At 38.7% G+C, this 13,777-nt stretch overlaps 1 long non-coding RNA gene across 2 annotated transcripts in view, besides 2 other annotated features; it reads right to left on the bottom strand.

The window, feature by feature from the left end:
- The window catches only part of LOC105373220 (uncharacterized), a 121,907-nt gene that overhangs the window by 54,420 nt on the left and 53,710 nt on the right, over positions 1–13,777 (bottom strand). The window lies entirely within an intron of this gene.
- Positions 9,669–10,488: an enhancer, noted in NCBI's record as "OCT4-NANOG-H3K27ac hESC enhancer chr1:238543376-238544195 (GRCh37/hg19 assembly coordinates)". NCBI's record gives its function as "activates a minimal SCP1, AML or CMV promoter by ChIP-STARR-seq in primed H9 embryonic stem cells {active_cell/tissue: H9 hESC(primed)}" and the evidence as "EXISTENCE:reporter gene assay evidence [ECO:0000049][PMID:30033119]".
- Positions 10,489–11,307: an enhancer, noted in NCBI's record as "OCT4-NANOG-H3K27ac hESC enhancer chr1:238542557-238543375 (GRCh37/hg19 assembly coordinates)". NCBI's record gives its function as "activates a minimal SCP1, AML or CMV promoter by ChIP-STARR-seq in naive H9 embryonic stem cells {active_cell/tissue: H9 hESC(naive)}" and the evidence as "EXISTENCE:reporter gene assay evidence [ECO:0000049][PMID:30033119]".

Here is a 13,777-nt window from a genome sequence, read left to right as displayed (position 1 = left end):
CCCATTTAATGATTGTTCTTTCCAACAGAATGCGAGCTCTGAAAATGCAGTGTCAAAACCAGAGTCAGGCCAACTTTCCCCTGCTTTTCTACCAGTTCCATTTAACAGAAAGTGGCAGGACAAAGCCCTCAGTAAATGAGGTTCTGAATTGCCATTGGTTTCTAAGAATGAAGGACATGTTTATTGGCCTCTGGCTACGCTATACTAAACGCAGAAAAAAATAAGATAAAACCTTCATACAGGAGCAGCCACCTTGGTGAATGGAATGAAGGTAATTAGACAAAAGCCAGGAAAAAGAAATGTGTAAGGAACACATCATAGCAGCATAATTCAGCCAAGGTCACCAGCATATTCATAATGAAGAAATCACAGGGCAACTCTACTCCATTCATAGAGTGCTCAGAACATTGACTCTTTCCTCTGTGCCAAAGAGCCTCACTCCCTGTGAGTTTTAGATGCAGCCGACTGCCGGGCAGCAGGTCTGGAGGTAGCTGCTGGAACAATAAGCTGTCAAAAGTATGATATGGAATAGTCATAGTGCTGGGACAATTTTAAGAAGCTGTCAAAAGTACGATGTGGAATTGTCATAGTCAGATACGCAATAGTCAAATGACTTTTCTAAGGCAAATGTAGTGCTTGGATGTTTAATTTCAACAATTATAAAATTATTGTAGCCTATTATGCACAGAGCTATGAGCTCATACTTTGAGAGAAACAAAGATAATTAAGATGCGGTTTTTTCTCTCTTACAACAGAGATGAGATAATGACAATGCCATAATGCACACAACCTGCTATCATGCTCCCAGGTAGCTACTTTGTTGATATATTTTATTTGAGGAGACATTTCCCTTTCTCAGCAGTCCTGGAAATATCTCAAATCCAAGACTGTATACAGATGTTGAGACCTTCTAGATGATTCATTGTAAATTCTCTTTCACCTCTGCTGCTGCCAGTGATATTTTCCCACCTTTCTAGGATGTGAAATCTTAAAGCATCTAGAGTCCCACTCACCTGGCATAATTCATAAAATGTGTAGAATTGTACAAGTGTGGGAAGGAGAATCGCCAGAATTTCCATAGACTTGAGGTTGATATCATGTCCTTAGTTGCATTATGGGTGATCACTTTCCCTTTTCTCAAAACTACTATGATGCTTGTATCTATTTCCTACCTATATTCACTTTTTCCTCCAGAAGGGAATTTTCTGGAGTAGAGAGAGATATGGCATACCTGAGAACTGAAAATTTTCTGACCTAATCCTTTCCTTCATTTGGCCAGAGAACTTCCTATTTTCCCTGCTTTCATCCAGAAGATTCTCAGCTCACTAAGTTACCCAATACTAATGCATTACCATATTAGGGTCTATAATGGGTAGAAGGGCATTTTAAATGTTGCATATGTTACATCATGTCATTTTTATAACTCTCTTGGGGAGGTATTTCTGCCCTGTTTTACAAATGAGAAAAGAGAAACTCAGAGGTAAAAAACTGTGTAGGCTCATGGAAGTGAATAATTAGTAAAGATAAGAATAAGACCATGCTTTCCAACATATAACTCATGCTACAACATAGAGGAAGTTAGAAAGTGACCCATTGCCTTTGTCAAAGCATTTGATGATGGAACCCTAGGGGATGGCAAGCTAAACCTAAAGAAGGAAGTGAGACTCAGATGGAAGGGGCTTGACCATTGGATGGGATGAAAGCAGATAATGCAGCCCAGGTCAGTCTCAGAAATCAGTCATCTCCTTATGCCAGACTCCAGGAGCTGCTTTTTAAACCCTAGTGAAGAAAGGGGCTAAAAATCCATATCAAGAGGCATGCTCCTCTTATGAAACTTTAGGGTATAGGTCTATGTATAAAAGTGTCAAACAAATCAATAATGCAGGCAGCCTTCTCGTCTCACAGTTCAGCTCCATCTTCACCAGGTGGGTATGGAGACCAAGAATGTGCTGCTTTGACACGCTCCAAAATTTAATGTGTCTTTAGTGGAGTTGATAGTGGCATCAAAAAAAGCAGGACTAGGGCCATGATGGGAGAATTAATTCGTGATTACACTGGGAATTTAATCAGGTCTCTTCATGAGTATCCTTAAAGCTTGCCCTGGGGACTCACAAAGATAAATGCAGGTATTGCACAAAGCTTGGAGGCTCAGCAAGGGCTAGTGAAAATAAGTGTTGAAATAATAAGAGCTATCACTAATTTGGCATAATTTTAACCCCTAACATTATGCGGTATGAAGTATGAAAATGTTCAAAGAACTCTAGGGATGCATAGTGTTTAGGGAAAATACAATCATCATGGTCATCAGCACCATCAACAGCAATATAAAGACTTGCAAACGAGAGGATTATAAATATTTTTATAATTTAATACTTTGATGTATAAATTGAAGAATAAAAGAAAAGTATGCATTTAGGGCAATAAAGTTTATCATGCCCTTGATTCTCCCTTTTTTTAAAAATACCCTTTCCCCTCTACCCTAGATCATCTCAGCATATAGTGTTTCTACATGACAAAGGTCTTCGATGCTTGCTGAATGCAATTCTTTGTAGTTTTGCTGGGGATATGACCTCCACAAATTGATAAACTCAAAGCACAGTCCAGGAGAATAATTTTTATGTTGTCGGAAAGCAAAACCTTTCCCTTGAACAGACTTCAAAGGAAAACCTCGGTGCACTAGGAGAACGCTAAGTGATCTTTCTTCATGTAGGTTGGTACCAAAATCCATTTCCACACGATGTCTGACTTTTAGCAATTTAGTCAGAAATAAGAGAATCAAAGGCACACTCCTCAAAGTTCAAGTGTGTCTGACCACATCCCACAGTGATGGGAGAAATTGCTCACTTAAATAACTCTCCAGGAAGAAAATCATGCTCATATAATTAATGAGAGTTACTCTGCAGAGAATGGATGAATTTGCTTTAATCTTGACAGCCATGGTTTATTATAGAAGAATCCCTAGTTACTCTGGGATCTCTTTTCAGCTATTTTCATATCGAGAATGGCTATCAGAAACTAAGATATATAATCATATCCTTGTATTGCTTGTTTTTAATAAACCCATTGCACTGGGGATAAAGTCTTGTCAATAGTTATAATAGTTTGTTACCTACCTAAACTTCCCCAGTTAGAAGTTTTATAGCTTCCACTGCAATGGGACCAAAATACTGAACAACTGCCAAAATATGGAATAGCTGCCCATATATGGCTGACCGCCCAAATGTATCAGTAGTAGAAGCATTTTCTTTCTTTTTTTTTTTAAGATGAAGTCTTGCTCTTGTACCCCAGGCTGGAGTCCAATAGCGTGATCTCAGCTCACTGCAACCTCCACCTCCCGGGTTCAAGCAATTCTCCTGCCTCAGCCTCCCAAGTAGCTGGGATTACAGGTGCCTGCTACCATGCCCAGCTAATTTTTGTATTTTTAGTACAGACAGGGTTTCACCATGTTGGCCAGGCTGGTCTCGAACTCCTGACCTCAGGTGATCCATCCGCCTCAGCCTCCCAAAGTGCTGGGATTACAGGCATGAGCCACTGCACCCAGCCACATTTCCATTTTTAAAAAAATAAGGAATGTTTAACCATTGACAGTGTAGTGAAATTTATTATGGAAAATGTGACAATGTATAAAAGAAGAATGAAGTTGAGAATCATCTATTGTCTCGGCATCTAGAAAAGTGACAACCATTCTGGTGTATTTCATAGAAGACTCTTTGCTGTATGTACATTTTTTACATAGCTGCAATCATGTCAACAATAACAATTGTTAGGTGTCTACCTAGAAGAACTGATGTAGTTAATACAAGGTACAAGGAACTCATAACTGGGACACAAAGAACTTGGATTAACATAGGTAACATATTTTAGTCAATCAGTAATATGTTTTAACATAAATCATTCCAAATATCATTATTTCAATAAATATTTATTAAGTATCTACTACATCACCAAGCATTGTACTGGGTTCATTTATTACCTAATGGAATGTTTTATGATTCATGATGGAATGTGTTTGTTATTCTGAACTTTGAGATCAATATCTGGAACTGATTGTGTTAACCTTTGTTGTCTAATCATAACATATGTATTGATTGTGTTCATCCTCTAGTTTGGGAATGGTTAAAAATGGAGGATTTGACTTGTTCAATGCTCGCTCTATCTCCTTTTGAGCCACAGGATGTCGGTTTAAAAACCCAAAGAAGTAAATGTATGTGTGTACACATATACACACCCACACACATATATGTACACATATATACACATATGTGTATATATATGACTACATATATATGTATACATACCTAAATTTCTAAGCGTTTCCTATATATAGCCTATTAATATATACTATGCTATATAATATGTAAGTTACACATATACATTATATATAACTGCATATATTGATATATATTATATAATATAACATATTGATATATATTATATAACATATTGATATGTATAACATTGATATATATTATATAACATAGATACATATTATATAACATATTGATACATATTATATAACATATTGATACATATTATATAACATATTGATATATATTATATTATATTGATATATATTATATAATATATTGATATATAATATATTGATATATATTATATAATATATTGATATACAATATATTTATATATTATATAATATAATATATTGTATGATATATACATATATTTATAAAATATGTGATATATAATAAACTTATAATAAACATATATTTAAAAACAAATACATGTATTTAAAATATATATCAATTATATATAGTATATATTTATATGTAATATATACATTTTAAACTTCTAGAAATTGAGAAGAAATAGAAGAGCACCCCAATGGAAAAAACTAAACAAAGGATATAAAAAGACAAATCACACAAAAAACAAATTACAAATAGCATTTAAGCATTTGTGAAGATGTGCAACCTCACTCATAATAAAATGAATAAAAATTAACTACGTTAATAATCATTTCTTAGCTATCAAATTGGAGAAAATACAGGAGTTTGAAAATAATGGTGTTGAAGAGACACTTGTAATTTCTGGAAGAAGAGCAAAATAGTTCAATATCTATGGAGGAAAATCTGACAGTATCTAATAACATTGCAAATTCTTTAATTTTTAAACCTGACAATCAAACTTCTAGAAATGCCCACTACAGATATTCCTGAATAAGTAAGAAATCTCATACGTACCAGGTTATTCATTGTGGTATTATCTGTTAGCTTACTGTTCTGCAAAAGAAAACTGAGTAAACTATGGTACATTCTTGTGGTGGAATCTAATATCATATAGTTTTTAAGAATAAGGACGTTCTCTATGTATTATGATAAAGACAGAATATATTGTTATTCTAAAATATACCGGGAAAACGAGCAACATGCATCATAGTATGTATTGTATGTTGATTTCTTTAGTAAGATAAGGCAGTTATTCGTTCATACAAACAAACTCTGGAAGGGTAAGTATGACATAAGAAAATATTTATCTATAAAGGGTTGAGACCTCGGGAAAACAAAGGAAGAGGCACTAAAGGAAGCAGGATTTTCTAGGCATCTCTTCATTTTATTGTTAACTTTTGAATCATGTAGATACATTACCTATTAAGAAAACACAACTCAGTTTAGTAAGAAATCCCTGATATTGAAAACAAATAAAAGTAAATGAGCAAATAACTCTAACTGAATATTGCATTAATAATATAAGCCCATAGTACATTTTTTTCACGTGACTTTAAAATATGTATTTTTTGACTATATAGGCTTAGTGAAGTGTATTCTAAAGACAAAAAGAACTGCACAGATACTTTAAATTGTATTTAATAGTTTAATCTTTTTAAACTTATTATTTTGTGATAATTGTAGCTTTACCTGCAGGTCGTAAGAAATAATACAGAAAGATGCATCCTTTACTCAGCTTTCCCCAGTGGTAGTACTTTGCATAACTAGAGTATAACGTCACAAGCAGGAAATTGACATTGACACAAACTATTGACTGTGTTCAGATCTCGTCCGTTTTACATGCAATTTTGTGTATGTCTGTGTGTGTGTATGATTCATTCTATGTGATTTTATCAGATGTGTACGTTCATGTAACCACCATTACAGCCAAGATGCAGAGTTTCACCACAAGGATCACAGCTATTTTCCTTCCTTACCTGGCATCTACTAAAAACATAAATAAAAATAAACAACAACCCAAAGAAGTTTTTTTTGGTCTGCAACAAAGTAAGAATATTAGAATCCTAATTTCTTAGACAACAGACCTGTTTTAAGCACGATGTGATTGCCCAGTTCATAGGGACCAATACTGAAAGCCTCGGAGACAATCCAAAGGAGGCCAACATCTGTGACTTATGCCAGAATCCCAAACACTGCAGAAAAGGGGCTGGGGAATAACTTTACACTGGGGAAACCTCACGAACACTCCTGTGGCCAGGTGACCAGGATTAACATCAACAGTGAAAAGCTGTGTTGATGTTATGTACCCTTGATGTGATGTGAAGAAAATAGAACTTAACAAGTCTGTGAGCTTTCTCAAAACTCAGAATCTCAGTCTTATCATGAGAAAAACATCAGGAAAATCTCAATTAAGAGACACTCCAAAATACTTGATCACAACTGCCCCAAACTGGCAAAGTCATCAAAAATAAGGAAACTCCGAGAAACTGCCACAGACAAGAGGAGCTTAGGGAGATAGGATGATTGAATGAAATATGGTATCCAGGATCAAATCCCAGGACAGAAAAATAACACTAGGGTGAAAAACCAAGGAAACCTGAATAACTAAGGAAACCTATGAACTTCAGCTTAATAAAAGTCTAGCACAGGGGTGCCCAATCTTTTGACTTCTTTGGGCTACATTGGAAGAAGAAGAATTGTCTTGGACCACACATAAACTTAATACTAATGATAGCTGATGAGCTAAAAAAAATTCACACACAAAAAATCTTATAATGTTTTAAGAAAATTTAGGAATTTGTGTTGGGCTGCATTCAAAGCTGTCCTGGGCTACATGCAGCTTGCATGCCACAGGTTGGACAAGCTTGGTCTAGAAGGTTTTTCTCTGAAAGCAATTTTCAAAAAGCACGTGCCCCTTTGGTAAGTTCTAAACAGGAAATGGGGCAGTACCCCTCAAATTAGCCCATTCACATTATTCATGGAATAGCAGGAACTGCCACTTTCCAATAACCAGATGTCACTTTGACAAATGAGGGCACCAGAAAAGAAGGAGTTGGGACCTGAGAAGTGACCTTTTTTTTTTTTTTTTTTTTTTTTTTTTTTTTTTTTTGTACAAAGGGAAGAAAAGAAAAACTCTTAAGGTTACAAGAAAAACTTCTGTGAGATGAATGGCAAACTCAGGGGAAACACTGGCGGGGTAAAGGGAAGCCAGGAACTCCAGTTGTGTTACACACGGTGACATCAAAAGCAAGCACAAACTGAAGGGCAAGGGGAAAGTGTGACATAGGAGAGAGGAGCTGTCATCAATGCCAGAAAATCAGCATCTTGTGTGCAGGACACAAAAGAGAAAGGAGGTCAAAGAGGGCAACCAGAGCAGGTAAAGAGAGTATGAAACTTGGCAAGGGGCATGGGTTGGGATGTGAGCCACAGATAAAGCAGGACTCTTGAGCTGTCATTGCTGTTGGGATTCTGGCAGCTGGGTGGTCCGGATTGGTACTGGCTAACTTAAGGCTCAGGGTGGGAATGGAGAGGGCAGGAAACATTATGACATTATGATGCCAGAATGTGAAATATGAGTATCACACACCTTTTCACTACTTAGCCCCTTGCCTGCTAGTGGCACAGATGAGACGTTAGGGAAAGAAAGTCAGAAACATTCGTTCTAATTTAGTGAATATTACTCAATTGCTGCAGGCCTGAGTGTATGCAGACTGCGCCACTGTAATGTTATCTTTAGCACACATGTACATACCCCCCACCTTCCCTCAAAGCCTGATATATGGAATTTGGACACAAAACGATTTAGAAGCTAAGATTTTCTTCAAGAAATGAGGCTTTGGCTGGGCGTGGTGGCTCACGCCTGTAATCCCAGTACTTTGGGAGGCTGAGTTGGGTGGATCACTTGAGGTCAGGAGTTTGAGACCATCCTGGCCAACATGATGAAACTCCAGCTCTATTAAAAATATAAAAATTAACGCCTGTAATCCCAGCACTTTGGGAGGCTGAGGCGGGTGGATCACGAGGTCAAGAGATCGAGACCATCCTGGCCAACGTGGTGAAACCTTGTCTCTACTAAAAATACAAAAATTAGCTGGTCATGGTGGCGTACACCTGTAGTCCCAGCTACTCAGGAGGCTGAGGCAGGAGAATCGCTTGAACCTGGGAGGTGGACGTTGCAGTGAGCCGAGATCATGCCACTGCACTGCAGCCTGGTGACAGAGGGAGATTCCATCTCAAAACAAACAAACAAACAAAAATTAGCCAGGTGTGGTAGTACACGCCTGTAGTCTCAGCTACTCAGGAGGCTGAGGCAAGAGAATCGCTTGAACCCAGGAGGTGGAGGCTGCAGTGAGCCGAAATCGTGCCACTGTGCTCCAGCCTGGGTGACAGACAGAGACTCCATCTCAAAAAAAAAAAAAAAAAAAAAAAAAAAAGGAGGCTTGAAGTGACATTAGCTCTTTGCAGTTTGTCTTCTCCCAACCTATTACAATCATAAACTCTATATGGTCATTCTCACCTATTTATGACTTCTAGAGTTACTCAACCACCATCGTCAACACCTAGTGTATTGATGAAGACAAGAAATGCTAGAGGATACACAAGCAGAGGACGTGAGTGATTTTTGATAGGTTGGGCTGGGTGTGGTGGCTCACACTCAGGCCTGCAGCAATTGAGTAATATCCACTAAATTAGAACCAAACAATGTTTCTGACTTTCTTTCCCTAACGTCTCATCTGTGCCACTAGCAGACGTGGAGCTAAGTGGTGAAAAGGTATGTGATATTCATATTTCACATTCGGGCATCATAATGTCATAATGTTTCCTGCCCTCTCCATTCCCCCCTAAGCCTTAAGTCCTTATATTACTAATGTAATATAAACTTGATAGTAAATTCACAATCAAAATAGGCTGGGTCCACCCGGTGGGTAGTGGCTCCCTGGAAATCTGTGTGTAGAAGATTTGTAAAATGATATTAATCTCTGGTGGAAAACATTGCTGCTGCCAAGTGGCCACGCCTGCTGTGTGTGAGAGAGGGACAGACAGAAGCTCTAGTCACAATCTGCCATCTTTGTTTTTACACTTGGTGAAATAAGAGCAACTTTTGAGATTCATGCTGTCCCTATCTGTCTACTTAAAACCAAATTACCATTTTTCTGCAGTTTAGATCACCATTTATATAAGGATTCACCAAATTTAGAGTCAGGAACATTCCTAATAAACCACGTTGTTGTTGTAGGACGATTTGCATGTCATGGAACAACATGTAGGAGCCACATATGATCACATGTTACACCATGCCTTGGTAGAACAAATAACTGTTCTTTCCCTCCCAATTAATGTCGCATCCTAAAGATGTGGCTCAACTGTACAGTACAGCGTGAAACGGTCATGACTAATCCGAAGGTTTGTTTGTACACACTGAATTTTTTTTTTTTCACTTTGCATTACAGCTGCAGGGGAGAAAAAAGGCAAAACACATCACTGGATCTGTTAGGTTTTAATCCAATTTGTTGTATCTGATTGCCTTAATTGGTGCATTACCAATTACGGCATAGCGACATCTGTCATCCTCTCCCCTCCCTCAATTTCCCTCAACTGTTAAAAATATTGTATAAGTATTAATTAGATAACTGATTAATTTAATTTGGGTGAAGTAAATTTGCTACCTAATGATACAGAGGAAGTAATGAGGCTTCAAATCAGAACACCCAACACCGAGAAATTCTATGCAGCTCAATGAGTGTTCCCTGTTGTGGAACGCCCACTGTACTTTCAGTTCATTCTCCGACCAAAATTTTGTGGATCTCCTTTGATCTACCTAAAACAGTTCTCTGTAGATCTATCTGTTTTACAAATTTAACAAGCATCTCCACTAGAAGACCAATGACTAATTAAGGTCATCTATAAATTATTTAAATAAGTGCCTGCATTTAAAAAAGAAAAGACACATCATTGACAAAGCAAGGGTTCAAATCACAATTAACATACATTCCTTAAGACAATTCAGCCTGGCTTTACGTCCAGTTGGTAACTCCCTGAAGCAAGAATGTTTGTTACTTCAAAACCATCTATGTCCTTTTGGTTCCTTCTTTTCCTGCATATTGTCGGTGATTTTCCATGTTCCAGGATGATACATGCTTTTCAGCTTGGACTGAGAATATTCTTGTGCCATTACAAATACAATGAATTTCAACAAATATCTGTCACCTAAATTACTGAGAGTTCAGAAATTAAAGTAGAGAGTCTTTTGAGTCAAAGCATTTCAGTGCACATTCTGTTAAATTGCACATTTAACATGCCTGCTTATACTAAACTTTATTTTTCCAGTAAGGCTACAAATGATGAGCACAGTTGGATTTTTTCAGGAATGTATCTTCTAAATTGAATAAAATTGCATTAAAATACCCTGTTATTACCCCCAAATTATTGCTCTGTAACAATATCAAACAACCTGTATTCCCTCAAACTGCCATAGTCCAGAAGTTAACTGTCAGGCCTCTGAGCCCAAGCCAAGCCATCGCATCCCCTGTGACTTGCACGTATTCGCCCAGATGGCCTGAAGTAACTGAAGAATCACAAAAGAAGTGAATATGCTCTGCCCCACCTTAACTGATGACATTCCACCACAAAAGAAGTGTAAATGGCCGGTCCTTGCCTTAAGTGATGACATTACCTTGTGAAAGTCCTTTTCCTGGCTCATCCTGGCTCAAAAACACCCCCACTGAGCACCTTGTGACCCCCACTCCTGCCCACCAGAGAACAAACTCCCTTTGAGTGTAATTTTCCTTTACCTACCCAAATCCTATAAAACGGCCCCACCCTTATCTCCCTTCGCTGACTCTCTTTTCGGACTCAGCCCGCCTGCACCCAGGTGAAATAAACAGCCATGTTGCTCACACAAAGCCTGTTTGGTGGTCTCTTCACACGGACGCGCATGAAATTAACATTTGGTGGTTTATTTCTGGTCTAAAAGGAACACTGGCATGTTCTGTGGAGATTCAAGGGAAATAATACATGGTCTTCAAGTGTGGTGACTCATGCCTGTAATTTCAACACTTTGGGAAGCTGAGGCAGGAGGATCACTTGTTACCGGGAGTTTGAGGCTGCAGTGAGCTATGATCACACCACCGCACTCCAGCCTAGATGACAAAGCAAAACCTGTCTCTAAAGAAAATAAATAAATAAATACAAATAATAAGTAATGCAGGGTCTTTTGTTGTATTGATAATCCACCAGAAAAAATAATTACCCAGGTATAAAGTTTTACCAACTACAAAAAACGTTATGAAAAATATTGGATTATTTCCCACAAGGACTCTTTAAAATTTAGTCTAAAGAGTAATCCAGCTGGGCGCGGTGGCTCACGCCTGTAATCCCAGCACTTTGGGAGGCCAAGGAGGGTGGATCATGAGGTCAGATCGAGACCAACCTGGCTAACACGGTGAAACCCCGTCTCTACCAAAAAAATACAAAAAATTAGCCAGGCGTGGTGGCAGGCGCCTGCAGTCCCAGCTACTCAGGAGGCTGAGGCAGGAGAATCGCTTGAACCCGGGAGGCAGAGGTTGCAGTGAGCCAGATTGCACCACTGCATTGAGTTAGACTCAGTCTCAAAAAAAAAAAAAAAAAAAAAGAGTAATCCCTTTGGGTGCTTCTTACAAATGCAGCACCTAGACACACCCCAAAAGTCTGTGCTATAGATTTGGATGCTGCAATCAATCTTCTTAAAACCCACCAAATCCAAATGAAAATCATAATAATGTCTGATGTGGGTCACTGATCGCTGTCCTATGATGTCTGAATAAAATGTCATTTGGAGAGTCTGCTATTTTTATTAATCTGTGTCATTCAACCCAAGTAAAAACAATTTTCATAATATACCAATACCACTTGAAGACAGGTTCTTTAGGCATTTCCACTCACAAACGTTTTCCCCCAAAATATTGCTTCCTTTAAGCGCACTTTTTGTAGAATAAGCTGCCATCAGACCAACGAATCTGCATATTTAATAAACTCTTTCTCCCCAGCCCCTTCAGGTGAGTCTAAAAACCTCTAAGATAAAGAGATCAGCAAAACCATCATAGACATGTAGAAAATTTCAAGTCAAGAAACTTATGGACGTGGGACCGTGCAAGGTATATTCTGAAATTGCTGGAGTACGACTCAAAGACTGTAGAGTGAACTAGAAATGGAAAGGCAAGTTGTGGGCTCAGGACAGATGGTCTTGGACGCATGCCTACTGGTTGGGCCTTTAGAAACTGACACTTTGAGCAGATGAATGACAAGAACAAAAGCATGCCTTAGGAAGCGTCAGTCTTTGGATTGGTGGGGCAAGAAGGGAAATGGAAAGACCAGCTTACAGAACAATTGTAACTGCCTTTTGGGAGAGAGCACTCATCTCGAGTCAGGGAGGAGGGACAGCACAAGCAAGGCAGTTTTTTTTTTGTTTGTTTGTTTGTTTTTTTTTTTAGTAGAGACAGGGTTTCACCATGTTAGCCAGGATGGTCTCAATCTCCTGACCTCGTCACACCCCCACCTTGGCCTCCCAAAGTGCTGGGATTACAGGCATAAGCCACCACACCCAACCGGCAGGAGGCAGTTCTAAGAGACAAAGGTCCTGGTGACATTCCCCTAGTCTTGGAGAATAACCTTCACATTCCCTGCAGCTATCGTCCTCAGCAGAAAGGTACCACTTCAAAAGTATTCCGTCAACTCTAGGGGCCATTTTTACCACTTTTATCTTTGAGATTTGCTGTTTCTCTTTGTCTTAAGGTTGGATCTTTGCTGAGAGTGTCAGAGTTCTCTTACTGAAGTCTTAGTTAGAAAAGTGGCAGATATTTACATTCCAGGACACAAACAGATGCTTCAAAAAGAGCTCCTTTATCCAGTTTTTATTGTCAGGCAAAGAATAGGATTTGCCTTACAATAGCTGTTGCAGACTACTCACCACACTTAAGCTCAGGATAGAGACATTTTCTGAAATGCCACGGAGGACAGATTGAAAATGCCTTAATCATATTTGGTTCCATGGGACCACTCGAAATTACTTTCCAGCATTCATTTTTAATGTCACATTTTCATAAGACGTTTCTTACTGGAAAGAACTCTCAAACAGAAGTTGGAAAATGTTGGTCCTAATCCCCTACCACTCTTATTCAGCACAGAACATTAAATAAGTGCCAGGACCTGCTCAAAGTGCCAGGGAAGAGGACAAATAAAACAGATTTTGCCTTTGGGAAGCTCACAGTCTGGAATGGGAGAGAGACATACATGAAGATGGAACTGGAATGTGATGCACTGAGTCCTGGGGCCGAAGTTGGCACGTGGTGTTCTGGGAGCACAGATGAGGAGCTGAACACCTTCACTGCAGGGTTCCAGAGATGGTGGTGGCTAAACAGGCTGAAATGAAGGCAATAAAGAGCAAAGCAGTAGGTGGAGGGTGTTCCCTGCAAGAACAACAATCAACAGAGCTGTCAAGCAGTCAAGTGTATGCACTGGAAATGCAAATGATGTTGTTATTCCTCTAGGATAAAGCACAATCTCCTGCCAACGGTGATCTTGGATAAAACCACAAACACAGGAAAAGATGGGAC

The sequence above is a fragment of the Homo sapiens genome, chromosome 1 (genome assembly GCF_000001405.40).
Source record: "Homo sapiens chromosome 1, GRCh38.p14 Primary Assembly".
Taxonomy (NCBI): domain Eukaryota; kingdom Metazoa; phylum Chordata; class Mammalia; order Primates; family Hominidae; genus Homo; species Homo sapiens.
Note: the sequence above shows the minus strand (reverse complement) of the source record. Positions and strands in the feature narration are given on the sequence as shown.